This window comes from Homo sapiens, chromosome 11, assembly GCF_000001405.40.
Source record: "Homo sapiens chromosome 11, GRCh38.p14 Primary Assembly".
NCBI classification, from domain to species: Eukaryota; Metazoa; Chordata; class Mammalia; order Primates; family Hominidae; genus Homo; species Homo sapiens.
Window position 1 is genome coordinate 106,693,613 of NC_000011.10, and position 16,116 is coordinate 106,709,728.

At 32.9% G+C, this 16,116-nt stretch overlaps 1 protein-coding gene across 2 annotated transcripts in view; it reads right to left on the bottom strand.

The window, feature by feature from the left end:
• The window catches only part of GUCY1A2 (guanylate cyclase 1 soluble subunit alpha 2), a 344,458-nt gene that overhangs the window by 19,594 nt on the left and 308,748 nt on the right, over positions 1-16,116 (bottom strand). For both annotated transcript variants that reach the window (NM_000855.3, NM_001256424.2), the window contains one exon: positions 14,900-15,054. In NM_000855.3, coding sequence (NP_000846.1) covers positions 14,900-15,054 — 155 coding nt within the window. The remainder of the gene's footprint in view (positions 1-14,899; positions 15,055-16,116) is intronic.

Consider the following 16,116-nt stretch of genomic DNA (forward strand, 5'->3'; position numbering starts at 1 on the left):
TAGTCAGACATTGACCTGGTAAATTAATCTTCTAATTTGTTTTCCTTTTTCTCGAATTATTCCCTCATTTTAAAACATTCTATTTTCTGGAAGATTGCATCCAACATTATTTCCCAACACATAAAGAATTTTAAAATTTCAGATATCTCATTTTAATTTCCACTCTTGTGGTATGATTATTTTTTCTTATGTTGTGTTCTTACTATTTTAAATCTATGAGAATATTAATCATCTTTTTATAGTTTTCTTTAGTTCTCTATATTGTCTCTTTTTCCTCTAGATATTAATTGACTAGATTTTGTTGTTTGCTTTTTTGTTTTGGTCTCTTTTTTCATGTCAAGGCATTCAACAAATTACTAATGTCTGTAAATATCTTTCTATTTAAGTATAAGTCATTATGACATGGTTAGAAGTTTTGTGTGTAGCAAAATAATGTTGAATTGTAGGTTTACCCTGACCATTTCATTAGGGTTCCCAAATATCAATATATTTACTGTTTTTCCTTTGGTCCAGTTTGTCCAAGTAACAATATTCCAATCATTCCTATGGGATTACACCTGGATTCCAGCATTCTGGAAGTTGAATTTAGGAAATAACCTGGGAATCTCACTGTTATGAATGTAGACTTTTATTTAATCCTCCCATATTTACCTTCCTGAATTTAGAATTCCTCTGGTTCAATGTCTCAGGAGAACAAACCTCTCATATCTTTCTAGAGTTAGCTGTGACCCAAAATTTGTTCTCCCTTTATTTATTAGTAATAAAGTTCTACAAAAGTACATGGCTACCCAGCTTGAAACTACATTTCCCAATTTCCCTAGCTACTATGGTTCTGAGTAATTATTAGGCTCCTAAAATAAGATTGACCTGACAAAGTTTTGAATGGCAGAAGTGAAGTAGATTCCGTTTCCCTTGGCAACTGACCATTAACAGTGACTATTGATATTGGAGTTTTGCAGAAGCAGGCTCCAGTTTTTAGCTTCCTAAGTGTCAAGAAAATGGCCCAGTACTGGTGACACGTTAGTCTAACATCTAACTTCATAATCATGGGAATGCATATTTAGGCATCCATTTTTCAGTTTCCTGACGTCCAAAGGCTGGTATGGCTGTGGCCACGGCTCCTGACCTAGACTATTACAGTTCCCGTGGTGAGCACAGGGGTAGGAGCTTGTGCACCTGGCCAGTTCTATATTTTATGGGTATCATTTCAAGATATCCAGCTTAGAACCTGATTTTTATCTCTTCTCATGATTCTGTAAGCACATTATTCCCTGTATATCTTCTGACTTAAAATACCCTAGAGTATTTTCTACCCTTGTACTTTTTCTGGAATCTCTTTTGGTCATATTTTGGATGTTTTAGATTATCCTCCTAATTAGGTTGGGTGTGTGTGCATGCATGTGTGCATGTAAACAGGCTGATATTTAGATTTAGAGTGAATATACTTGCTTCTTACCCACTCCCTCTTCTGTAGGACCTGAGACTTCAGCTTTCTTTTAGACATTAAGCCAAATATCACTCAGGCATACACTTACCACCTTCCTCTCTTCCATTTTTAAATCCTCTTCCAGTCTTTGTGTGTTTGTATGTGTATATGTCATTTTGTTCCAACAAAATGGAAGAGAGGACGGTGGCAAGTGTGTACCTGAGTGATATCTGGAAGCCATTTTGTTGTCGTTTCAAAAAAGATTAATTATTAACTTCCGAAAAGGGTAATGATAAACTCAGGGCCTCAATTTGCTTAATTAGAAATTTCTGTTGTTACAAATTATTCATCTGAATATCTTTTTTTGCTAAGGAATGCATTTGGATTCTATTGTAATAGCATTGGGCACTGCATTTTTGGGTGTAGGAGAAGGACGACGGTTCTGAAAGATGAAAATAAAAGACATCAAGACACATTATGTTTTCCTAAGTGTTGTAAAGTTCCTGAATTTTTCCTATTTACCTTCTTCTTTCTACTTGAGTGGAAGAAAGGAAGGAACTCTGCCCTGTATTTCTGCTTTGTGCTTCACTGCTCCAAGATCTGATGCAGTCTGAAGATAGGTCCAATGGAACTGTTGTTATTGAGTCGGCTAGACAGCCTGAAATCCCCTGAAATGCAGTGATTCATTCTCTGGAAATACACCTTTCCAAATAAGGAAAGGAAGAATCTAGCTCATGATGAAATAAAACAGAAAAAGGATCTCACCAAATGTTTATGCGTTTTAAGGTTGCAAATATTTTTACTTGTAGATGTTGAGGTAATTTTATAATTTGAGGCAATCTGTGGGATCTAAAATTCAGGCCAATAAGTTCTCCTAAAGGGATAGCCTTCCTGTATGTCCCCTGAAAATGATAAGGCAGAGAGTCTCAGAGGCACTTCAGCGACACCCCTGCACATTTTTTCTGCAACCCACCCCAGGAGTAGGTACTGATGGCAAAGTGTGCTTAAGTATAGGTTCATACTCTGCATACCTGATACCTGCTAGAGAGTGTACATCTTCTGGGATGTTCCTATTTGAGTGGCAAAACTAATGCCCTTTACATTCTTGAATTTTAGGATGCTAAATAACTAAAGATCATTCTACCCCATTGACTTCTCTGGACCCTGTCAATTTTGACCTTTAACAGCCTAAAAACTCCACTTCTAGTAAATGTCAAGGAATTTAAACTTTAAAACATTCATGCAAAAGTTTGATATGTCTATAGACAGAACTTTAAAAAGAGATAAGTGAGAGATTAGAAAAGATAACTGTAACCAGTTCTTGTAAGTTAAATAATTTCCTCACATTTTTCACTTCTCTGACCAAAAGTCTTTCTTAAAAACAAGTTCATCATTGTGCTGGTCTTTCTGTATAAAAGATAAAGAAGTGGAAAGAAGAAAATATGCACAATTATTTTTAAAAATTAATATTAGTTGATTTCATTACTTAAAAATTAGTACCAAATTAGATTCCTAGACTTAAGAATTCTATGTTCTCTATTTTCTATATTATTCAACCAATCAGAAATAGTTAGCCTAAATGTATTCTAAGGAGATCATGCAAATTTTAATAACTTCAGCCCCCAAGAAGGCAAATCAACCTAGGAAAATATTTGGAGGCTAAAAAAAGGGCATACTTTTTTCCTTTTCTTTAAGAGTTCAACCGACTTCTTATATGAACAATGTTTTATAGAAAATATTCCTTGCAAATTCCACTAAAATTATGCTTCTCAGAAATACTCATTTTTGTGGAGAGAAACTAAGAGAGGAGAAGAGGTATAGGTAGGCTCAGTATATCTAATCTCTTACATTTTAGAGTTTTTCTTTCCCCCATACAGGTTAGATAGAGACAAATTAGTTGATGGCATTAGTTAAGTCGCTTAAATTCTCTGGTTTCTTAATTTCCTTGTGGAAAAAGAAAGATTTTACTCTAATTTATTTCAAAGATTAGTTACAGCTCTAACATTTAGGGAAGCTTGAGAATTTATAAAGTATTCAGTTTATAGAGGATCATACAAAGCAGCGTGATCAAACATGTTAGTTTTAGACTTGCAAATCTGAAAAATTTTCAAGTAAGATCTCCAGAGGAAACACTGTCATGTTGGCTAATATCACAAAAACTGATTACAAAGCAATTTTGATTTAGTAATAGGTGACTAATGCATGAGAATCTTTGCACTTTAATAAGAGCTGCAGAAAGGATTCTTAACATAGCATTTAGAGCAATCAGATTTTTCCTGATGCACAGTGTTTCACACAAAAGAGCAGTGGGAAGAACTGACTGCTAAAAGATTAAGGCCCAGTTAAGACTGGTTTCAATTCTCTAGTTTAAAAACGAATACTCCAAACATGCTGTATTTTATTAAATATTAAAATGTATTTAAATAATACAATTCATGATCAGCTTTTTGGAAGTTAGACTTCCAAAAGTCTACCTTCCTGTTTTGAGAGGATTTGAAACAAACATATTTCCTTAATACAACATAGTACCATATACGAACAAACAATATAATATAAAATTTTGCCATTTCCTTCAAAGGACAATGTACACACAATTAGAAAAAAGGAGAAATTTAAAACGATATAGAGGCTTGATTACATGCTAAACCTAAAAGTAAGAACTTTAAAGTTAAAAATATATTCATAAGGCATTAATTCTGAGAGTGAATAAATATGGCTTTCCAATTTCAAGGCACAGTATTAACCATACAATATATAGAATGGCTATGTGTTTTTGCCCAGTCAGCCCTGTCAATTATTTCTTTAAAGTTTTTTCATACCTTCTATACCTCTATTCCCATGATCATGGCCTTAGTTCATGACTGTACCTTAGGCTTGGAACAACAATGACCTCTTCTCTTATGGTCATTTCACCTCTAGGTGTTCCCTACTCCACTCCCTGTGGAACATCACTTCCAAGTAAGCTTTTCTTTGATCATGTTGTTTCCAGGCTCAAAAACATTCAGTGGGTCTCTAATAATATATAAGATCCTCTGTTATGTAAGTTGAAAATAAATTTACAGCTTTCACTGAATGTTAGAATTTTTTTTTTTTTTTTTTTAGACAGGGTCTCACTCTGTTGCTGAAGCTGGAGTGCAGTGGTGTGATCACGGCTTATAGCAGCCTCCATCTCCTAGGCTTAAGTGATCCCCCTGCCTCAGCCTCTTGAGCAACTGAGACTTTAGGCACATGCACCATGTCTGGGGATTTTTTTTTTTTAATTTTAGTAGAGACAAGGTCTCACTGTGTTGCCCAGACTGGTCTCAAACTCCTGAACTCAAGTGATCCTCTCCCCCAGACTCCCAAAATGCTAGGATTGCAGGCATGAGCCACTGTGCCTGGTCTGGATGTCAGAACTATAATAATTTTTTAAATAAGCATTTTTTGGAATAATGTTAGATTTATAGAAGAATTGCAAAGATAATATAGAAGAATTGCAAAGATATATAGTATAGTTCTGCAAGAAGTGAGTTCTCTTATATTCTTTACTCAATTTCATCTAATATTAACATTCCACTTAACCTGGGTACATTTGTCAAAACTAAGAAATTAACAATGGTATATTACTATTAAGTAAATTACAGACTTTATTCAGATTTCACTGATTTTCTATTAATGCTACTTTTTCTGTTCCAGGATTTAGTACAAAATATTTGTAGAATTATCTAGACCTAACCTAGTTTATAAGTACATGAAAGATGAGATCATTTATGTGGCTTATCCAGGGCCATAAACTAATTAGTGGCAGAACAGGAATATGAAATTCACATTATTTTATTTGGTCATTCATTTATTTAATCAGTCAGTAGTGATTCTTAATATTTTCTGAATCACGGTCCATTTTGAAATCTGATGAGAATATTAAAAAAAACTCTTTCCAGAAACAAGCACATGTGAGTATGCAAAGAAAATGCTTCATAAACACACTAATCATAAGGCTTAAATGTAACAGCAGCCCCCAAAATCCTCAACAGTAATACTTTTATCTATGTTCTACCTTGGATTTTGAGTTAGATATTACTTGAATTGTTTCCACAGCCAAACATGTTTAACACTTACTTTTCTAAAGAACTTGGCCTTTTTAGCTAAACTGTGGACATCTAAAAGAACCTTCAGAAAGGATTATTAAAGCTGTGTTAATTACAAAATAAATATTGACCTCCAGGCCACTAGAAATGGTGCCATTTTTAATGGAGAAAGGGAAAGGAAAATGTAAGGAGTGACTTTTTCTTTTGCTTTAAATCATGCTTAATTACCTTAGTAACTAATTTTCACCTTATAGTATTTTAGATAATGTGGAAAATTTACTTAAGCTTGGCATTCTTTGTAAACGTTATTTATGACATATATTTATGTATATGATTCCCACATTTAAGCAGAGTTGCCAATCACAGTATTTATACTTCAAGGAAATTCTTTCTGTGTGTGAAATTAACAGATGTCTCCCATATAAATAGGAATTATCGACATGAATACCAGATTAATGCCTTTAAATTCTGAATCCTGGAACTAGGTAATTAACTTTTTAGCCCTGCCGTCATGAGAAGAGAGAACCACCAAGCTTTCCCTTCATACTAGTTAGGAATGGGACCTAAAGAAAAACAGCAAAACTTTACTTCTAGATTTAATCTTATGCCTAATCATATAAGCCAAACCTATGCCAAATAATAAACTAAATCATAAAGAAAAATATGTCTTTTTTCTTTTTTTTCTTTTTTTTTTGAGGCGGAGTCTCGGTCTGTCGCCCAGGCTGGAGTGCAGTGGCGCCATCTCGGCTCACTGCAAGCTCCGCCTCCCAGGTTCACGCCATTCTCCTGCCTCAGCCTCACGAGTAGCTGGGACTACAGGCGCCCGTCCCCTCGCCTGGCTAATTTCTTTTGTATTTTTAGTAGAGACGGGGTTTCACCATGTTAGCCAGGATGGTCTCGATCTCCTGACTTCGTGATCCGCCCGCCTCGGCCTCCCAGGGAAAAATATGTCTTAAATTTCCAGACATACTCTTCATTTCATATCTATGAAAACAACCAACCACTTTTGCAAAGTACATAATTATATATTTTCTCATTGATTCTTACAAATTTTAGCAATTAGACCTTTAAGAGTAAGCTAATAGGTAAGTTTTTACTATTTTTACTGTAAAAATAACTGCAACATTATATTCTGATTTTTAAAGACTTCACTGCAATGGCCTTAAATATGCTGGTAAATATATGGAATGACTGAAGTGGAATATTCTAAAATCCCCCTACCCCCAAAAAAGACAGACTTATTTTTAAAAAATTGGGAAGGCATCAGATTCCTGATCCACAGAATTACATTTTCTGGGGAAAATGCTTTTTGATATATAGCAGAGAGACAAAGAAAGAGATAGTAAAAAGAAGTATTGAAATGAGTAGAATATCTCATTCAATTGTGCTAGATATGACTTTTATTGGCACATTTAAAAGGGTAATATTAATGTTGCTGTTTGTAATTGGAAAAATAGAAATGTAATTCTTGAGGCACCGCTCCAGTTTATCCTTTTGGGAAAACTACTAAGTCATTTGTCTTTACTGATTATATTTCTTTTGTAAAATATGTTTACTGTTTTGGTGCTTCCATAGAGAAAAGGATAAGATGATTAATAAAGTTATTTAAAAGACTGAAGGATAGTAGCATGCCAGCCCGAATACTTTTTATTTTTAAATATCAAATCACTAGTGCAGATGAGCATGTTGATTTTTTTTTTTAAGAAAAGGCTACAGAAAAACTACTAGATAAGAATTTCTTGAAGTTTCTTTGGATCTTTCCCCACATTAAGCGTCCATAGGAAGAAGAGTAAATATTTATAACATAGTATCTCATCCTTGTATAATAATTATATTGACAAAGGAACAGAAGCAGAGTTTCTAGCTAGTGTTTTTGACTAGTATTACTGATTATTAAACTATATCGAAGGTATAGTTTAATGAAATAAAAACTATACCCAAGGAATGTCATCATTCTTCAATTATTCCATTCGTCTTTCTCTGAATTTACCAGAAAGATATGCATTCCTCCAAATTGTTTATAAAGTAAATTCCTAAAAGCAAGCCTATATTCCCAGTAAATTATTATATGCATTAGAGACATGCTTATACAAAATGTTTTTTAGCCTCACAGAGGCAACAGACAATTTTTTTTTTCACTTGGAAGCTTCCACTTGCCACAAGTTTGTCCCATATACTCATGTTCATTTCAGAGCTAGAGACAGAGATACTAATATAGTTAGAAATACAGACACTCCAAATAAACACGTTAGAAATAATATCCTTCCTTTTTATTATCCTGAGTATAAAAACAACTCCAGAATAGCAAAAGTTCAACCTGAGGGCATTATATCTACAAAGAGAAAACGAATCTCCCTTGCTGTAATTCCACTTTGCTCCCCACTGCTCTCTTCACCATTTTCTTGCAGAAGAAATCCTCTCATCGAGGCTAGTAATATTCAGAAATTAATGGGTCTTTAAAAAAATAAAATTTGTGCTCATAAAAGTAGAGAGTAGAATTGTGGGTATTAAAGGCTAGGAAGGGTAAGGGGGAGGAGACAATGTAGAGAAGTTAACAGATACAAAATTTCAGCTAGATAGGAGGAATAAATTCTGGTGTTCTGTAGCACTTGGGGTGAATAGGGTTAATGATAATTTATTGTGTATTTTCAGAAAGCTAGAAGAGCAGAGTTTGAATGTTCCTCACACAAAGAAATGATAAATGTTTGAGGTGATAGTTATGCTAATTATCCTAATTTAATCATTATGCATTGTAAACACTTATCAAAATATTACTCTGTATCCTATAAACATGTACTATAATGTGTCAGCTAAAAAATTTAAAAAGTAATTATTGTTTTTTTCCATGTTATTTCAAGTAGTTATCAACCCATGGGACAGCTTGGCCACAGATAAGATCTCAGGCTTTAGAGTAGGGCAGCTACGGGTTTGAATTATGACTCCCGCACTTATTTAGCTCAATGTTCTTAGTGACTTATTTAACCTAAGTTTCAGTTTTTCTCATCTGAAAAACAAAGATAATCACAATTCAGAACTCACACTCTTGCTGTAAGGATTAAATGACAATATAAATAAATTGTCAGTAATTCAATAAATGTTTGCTGTGACTATGATGAGATATTGGAGCTAAAAGATGCATGAGAGCTCATCTAGGACATCAAATAGCTTAACCAATATTAGATGCAGTTCTCTTAATTCCTAGGGTAGGAATTATGCACTGTATCAAACTCTTGCACAAAAATGTGGTCTGTGCAATTTTAAACTTGGTGCTAGAGGTCTAAAGAGAAATTAAATATTATAACTTCTTGAGTTTTGTAAGAGATGATATGTGGGTATCTGTGTCTGAGGGCAGGTTATGCAGTGAGAGGACTGCAGTCATCTTTATAAAAACTGCTTATTTCTCAGGATAGCTTCTTAGTCTTCTCAAGCCAAGGGCTCTACTGCTTCTTAAATATAGAAATATCATTCAGTCCTACACTAGATTCCTGTCTTCAGGAATCTATATCTTAAGTCCCAGTAAAAATCCTTTACAGGCCAGAGGTCTCATTTGTGAAAGTTCTTTTTCCTCCCTAGATTTTGCTTACATAATTTATATGGTTTTTTTTTTTCAAATCCTCAAAGACAAGTATGCAGAAGTAAGATTGGGGCTATATTTCCAGGCAGGTTTTAGCATTTAAATTTTCCCTTCTTGTAGGAAGAATAACCCCCACCTCCCAAGATGTCCACATCCCAATCCCTGAAAAATGTGAATATGTTAGGTCTCATGGTATGACGTTTAATATTGAGTGTCAACTTGATTGAATTGAAGGATGCAAAGTATTGTTCTTGGGTGTATCTTTGAGAGTGTTGCCAAAGGAGATTAACATTTGAGTCAGTGGACTGGGAAGGGCGGACCCACCCTCAAGCTGGGTGGACACAATCTAATCTATTCCAGCACAGCCATAATAAAACCAGGCAGAAGAACATGGAAAGATTAGACTGGTTTAGTCTTCTGGCCTACGTATTTCTCTCATGCTGAATGCTTCCTGCCCTTGAACATTGGACTCCAAGTCCTTCAGCTTTGGGACTTGGACTGTCTCCTTGCTGCTCAGCTTGCAGACGCCCTATTGTGGGACTTTACCTTGTGATCCTGTGAGTCAATACTCCTTAATAAACTCCCCTTTATACATACATCTATCCTATTAGTTCTGTCCCTCTAGAGAACCTTGACTAATACACATGGCAATGATGAATTAAGGGTGCAGATGGAATTAAGATTGCTAATCAGATGACATTAAAATAGAGAAATTACCATGGATTATCCAGTGGGCCTGACATAATCACAAAAGAGTCCTTAAAAGTAGAAGAGGGAGGAAGAGTCAGTAAAAGATATGTGATGATAGAAGTAGAATTAGAAAGATGAACTATTATTGGCTTTGATGATGGAAGAAGAAGGTTCTGAACAGAGGAATGAGAGTGGCCTCAAAGCTGGAAAAGGCAAGAAAGCATGTTATCACCTAGAACTTTCAGCAAAGAATGAAGGCCTCATGACGCCCACGCTGATTTTAGCTAGGTGAGACCTGTGTCAGACTTGTGCCCTATAGAACTATAAAATAATGTTTGTGTTGTTGAAGCCAACAGTAAGTAATTAATCTAATTAGTAAGCAATCACATATATATGATTACTTACTAATTAGATTAATTATATACTATATATACGATTACATACATATATATGATTACTTATTAAGTAATGATTACTTAGTAATCATATGTATATAGATATACATATATGATTCCCACATTTAAGCAGAGGTACATAATTCAATTAATCATGTGATTAATTGAATTAATTATGTACCTTAGCTTAAATTTGGGAATTTCCCATGTACACAGCCAATTTTTAATCATATGACTATGATTTAGACAGTCATCAGTAAGGGACTTTTGTTAATAAAAACACATAGGAATAAACTGATTACTATCTCAGCTCTTAGTCACAGCTCAAAATGCACCTTTGACCAAATTACCAAACCCATTCTTTCTCTCAAATTTCCAGATGAGGTCTGTAATCCTACTAGCACACATCATTCATCATGGCTAAATTTATAAATTATGAGATTCAAGTGAAGGAATAAGATGGTTTCTTCCTCCATGGAAAGAACAGGATGAAGCAGTAAATGAATGTCTAATATGTTCCAAGTATAAGGAGCTTTAAAAATATCACATTAAATGCCAACAATAATCTTCATAAACATGTACCCATTTTAGAGATGAGATAACTTGGTCCAAAGAAATTAAGTCACTAAAGTTCATGTAGACAGGAAAATTTAGAGCCTGGATTCTACCTTAGGCATTTTGATTCTGAGCTCATGCACTTCACCACTGCCTAATCTGCTCGACTGTACATGCTCTCATACAATGAGCTGTTCAGGTAGCAGTGGTTAGGAAGAAGCTTGGTTTTAACAGAAAGAAGCCTTTCACAGTCAATTAAAAATAGGCGTTCTAAAACATCTGGAAGTAGATCAATTGTAAAATGAGAAAAGCAAAAATGTTTAAAGATTAAGAAAAATTTCATACCAAAGTAATTCAAGTCTTTCTACACTTTTAGTTTGCACTGTAGCAAGAAAAAATAATTATGCTGAGATAAATCATTTATTTCAAAATTTGCTAAAGCCATCCTTCATATAAGCAATTATTTCTGTTTTATAGATCAGCAGCATGATGTTAAGACAGTTGTTTATAATATATGCATTATTTTAAAATATATATTATATGCAGTAAAGTAATATTAGTATATATGATATATATATTATATGCACTATTTAAAGTGCATATATTAATGGTGCATATATTATGTGCACTATTTAAAATCCATATCCCATAAAAAACTTATCCCATCATTGGGATGATGGGAACAAAAATGTGTGTAAACACATTTATTGAAGAAAAATGAAAATGTCTAATTTGGAAAACTTAAAACTCAATAAAAATTTCTTTTTTGTAATGTCATGTAAATAATGTTCACAGGAACAAACTTTGTGATAATTAAAAAATAGAAAATATACCGAAGTGTTGATCAACAGAGGAATATATGTATGAAATATTAAAATATGGTGGAGTCATACACTGAAATGTCATACAGCGATTAAAATGATGAGCTAGAGCTGTCTATGATTTAGACAGTCATCAGTAAGGGACTTTTGTTAATAAAAACACATAGGAATAAACTGATTACTATCTCAGCTTTTAGTTACAGCTCAAAATGCACCTTCGACCAAATTACCAAACCCATTCTTTCTTTGGAATTTCCAAAGAAAGATGCTCCAACATGGATAGATCTTAAAAGTATTAAATTGTGTTTAAAAGAAACCAAAGTTAGTGATAACAGTCATACAGTAAAATACCATTTATGAAAATTAAAACATGTAAAATAAAATTATATTGTTCATGGATACATATGTAGAAAGTTAATATATAGAACATGGGACTGAGGCAGGGCGCAGTGGCTCAGGCTTATAATCCCAGCACTTTGGGAGGCCGAGGAGGGCAGATCACGAGGTCAGGAGATGGAGACCATCCTGGCTAAAAAGATGAAACCCCGTCTCTACTAAAAATACAAAAAATTAGCCAGGTGTGGTGGCACGCACCTGTAGTCCCAGCTACTTGGGAGGCTAAGGCAGGAGAATCCCTTGAACCCGGGAGGCGGAGGTTGCAGTGAGCGGAGATTGTGCCACTGCACTCCATCCTGGGCGACAGAGTAAGACTCGTCTCAAAAAAAAGAAGGAAAAACAAAACACGGGCCTTTGAAACACACCAAACTCATTAGGATGTCACAATGAAAGACTGAGAAAATTACAAAGAAAATGTTTTGTTCATTTTTATTAAGAAATATCTGAAGCAAAATATAAAGTGTTTAACTATGGTAGGATCATGGATATTTTATTATCTTTTCAGTACTCCACAATAGTTACAAAAATATTTTTAAAATTCAATTATTTGAATATTTAAGACAAAATGCATTTGGAATGAACAATTCAAAAAATGATTTCAGTTTATCATAATATCAAAACAGTCCACTTCCAAAGTTTATAATAATCATATAGTTTTCAAGATAAACAGGTAATGTTGGACATTCTACAGAATGTAATTCAGGGATAAAATAGAGATTTCAAACTCTCATGAGCTTAATACTGGGTTTTACTTCATAAATTATATTTGTTCTAAGAATCTACCCACCTGTCAGCTCAACGTGTCTATCTATGGCTCTGTTTGATTTTGGGGGGCCTGGGGGTGAAGGTGCAGAACAATAACACAACAGTAAGCTTCAGTGTATGCAGTAGTTGAAATGATTTCATTCCTCAGACCTTGTTAATCACTAAGGATCATCATAAACTGTGAAAAAGACTACAAAAACTCTGAGTCACCACCAAAATGCACAGACTTGTATGGCTGGCAGAGTTTTTTTTTTTTTTAATACATCACTATGTAAACAAAGCCAGCTACTGTTATGATGTCTAAGCAACAGGGCATGAACTCCTCACACAGGTTGGGCCCATTCTTTTACACATCTTTTTTTTTTTTTTTTAAGTGAAGTTGTCACAGAAGACATAAATCTACACTAAGTTACACAAACATGGAAAATAAGTATCAATACCATGATGGGAATAAATGGAACCATGTAATAGGATATGAGTGAGGTAGCTGATCTTCAGTAACTTTTTTCATCGTATAGAGCAGAAAGTATCAGAATCACTGATCTCTACTAGAGAATTTGACAAAATTCAATTTGCCATGGTAATTGTTGTCAGATCATCTGTAATATGCCCAGAATTGTGTTGGGAAAATTGGGAGAAGTTTAAAAGATGCAAATCCTCTTATAAATATCCTGAAAATAGCATATAGTTCTTAGATAAGTAATGATTAGATAGAATCCTGAAACTTTGTCCAGAAGTTGTCTGTGAGGCCCTCAAAATCTCTTGGGTTCCTTAAAATTAGTAAGAGGTGTGTCTTTATTCAAAAACTGTAAAATCAAGGTATCCACTACTTTAATGAGCTTAGCAAGAGCTTTAAAATGTATTTTTAATGTGCACTTTCTCTTAATTTTATATTTGTAATTTCAGTTTTCTTTCTCATCTATTTTGCAGAATCTGGAAGTATCTGCTTTCATCTAAAAACTTTAAATTCCCTCTCTGGAATTTCTGATACCAAATTACCCTCTAATTTGGTATCAAAAGTTTGAAAATATCACTATTTTATTTATTATTATAGTCAACTTTTATCTTTATATTCAAATTTTCTGCTTGAGTTTTTTGTAACCATGTTAATAGAAAAATCAATGGCCACTATTCCTACTATACATTTTTTTCAGTATGATTCTAAGTTACCTAAAACATGAAATTAATTAAGCAGCTGTACAGTAATGCCCAGAATAAAGCCAAAGTGTGATAAAGTAAGACATTTTCATGCTTTTCTTTGCTGTTAATTTTGAAAATGTCCATCTTATCAATGTATTTATTCATTAATTTGATAAATATTTACAGAGTGCTTATTATGGGCTAGACATTTTTATAAGTTTGGGGATATAATGATGAGCCAAACTCATCATTATGACTGTGAGAGACACAGTCGCTGCCCATATACAGGGCTTAATATCTAATAGGGGAAATTTCTACCAGACACAAAATAAGAATGAATTCAGGAGGCAAAAATGTGTAGTGTTGTCAAAGATTACCTTTAAGATAAAAAGAATTTAATGTTTTACTCTGTACCTGGTATAGCAGAGCATTCAAAATCCCAAAGTCCAAAATGCTCCAAAATCTGAAACTTTTTGAGAACCAACACGATACTGAAAGGAAATGCTCTTTGGAAGATATTGGATTTCAGATTTTCAAATTTGGGATGCTCACCAGGTAATATGCACAAATATTCCAAAACTCAAAAAATTTCAAACCGTAAAACACTTGTGGTCCCAAGCATTTTGAGTAAGGTATAATTTATATATATATAAATTTAAAGACTTTATTTATTTATTCAAAAAAACAGTCCAACCACCTTTTCTATTGTATTTCTTCCATTTTTATAAACAGAAACATTTTGAAAATATTGAGATTTCTATTATAATGCAGATCCTTAAGAACATTTGCTCTCCTGTATTTTAAACAGGTATACTTAAGAAGGACAGAGACTGTGGGAAATGACAAACCTATATTCACCTCTCAGTCATGTCAGATTTTTCATGCACTCTCACAGAGTGCAAATAAAAGTTTGTGTCACAATTACTATCTATCTTTTGGGTTTGGGCAGTTCTACTCATAATATCTTGGAGAATGACAGGATCAAGAAAAAGAACAGGGACTCACAGATGACAGCATAGCAGCCCAAAACAAAGGCCAAGACAGGAAGGAGGAGGCCAGAGAACACTTACTGGTAAGTGGTTGGGCTGACATTGATGCGCCGAGGGTGACTTCCCGACTCGAATTTGCTTGCCAGTGTGACATTATTTCCAAACAGGCAATAACGTGGCATTCGCACCCCAACAACTCCAGCCAGCACGGAGCCTGAGTGAATTCCTATCCTCATCTAAAGAAGAATGAAAGAGGAAAAGGAACATATTTGTTTCCATTTGGTATGCAATTATTTTAATGAAAGGCACTGCTAATTAATAATAATAATAATAAAAAAAAACTATGAGCTCCTCAAAGACAGGAACTGAGTCCTGGTCATTTTTGTGAGCCTAATAGCTGGATCATTATAGGGCTCAAAGAAGATAAATGCTATTGAATACACAAATAAATAGATTAAGTATATGAAAAAATTTATGTTTAATTTGCTACATAAATCTGGTTATGTTACAGGTTAAATCAGATTTCATCTGTATGTAATATGGTCTAACTTGAAAAGTATATTTTTCTCCACTTTCTCCCTCCAGTTATTCTTAAATAAAACCTTATTTGTTCCTTTCATAGCACTAAACATAATTATAAATTAAATATTTATATTTCTGTTTATTTTGTTTAAATGTTGGATTTTCCCATCAGAGAAGGATATAGTTATATATATTATATACATGTATATAATATATATAACTATATATTATATATAACTATATATAATATACATGTATATTATATATAGTTATTAATAATTGTATACTATATTGTATATAATATATATAAATATATTTATATATATAAATTTATATATATTTATATTTTTATATTTATATATATTTATATATATTATATAAATATATATAAATTTATATATTTTATATAATATATATAAATTATATATATTATATATTATATAAATTATATATTATACTATGTATATATTATATATAAGTATATATAATAATATATATTCTATATTTATAGAATAATATATATTATTATATATTTATATATATATAATAATATATATTATTCTATAAATATAATAATAATATAATATATTATATTATTATATAAATATGTTATATACGTGTATATAATATATAGTTATATATAATATATAGTTATATATTATATACGTGTATATATTATATACACGTATAGAATATATAGTTATATACACGTATAGAATATATAGTTATATATTATATACACGTATAGAATATATAGTTATATACACGTATAGAAT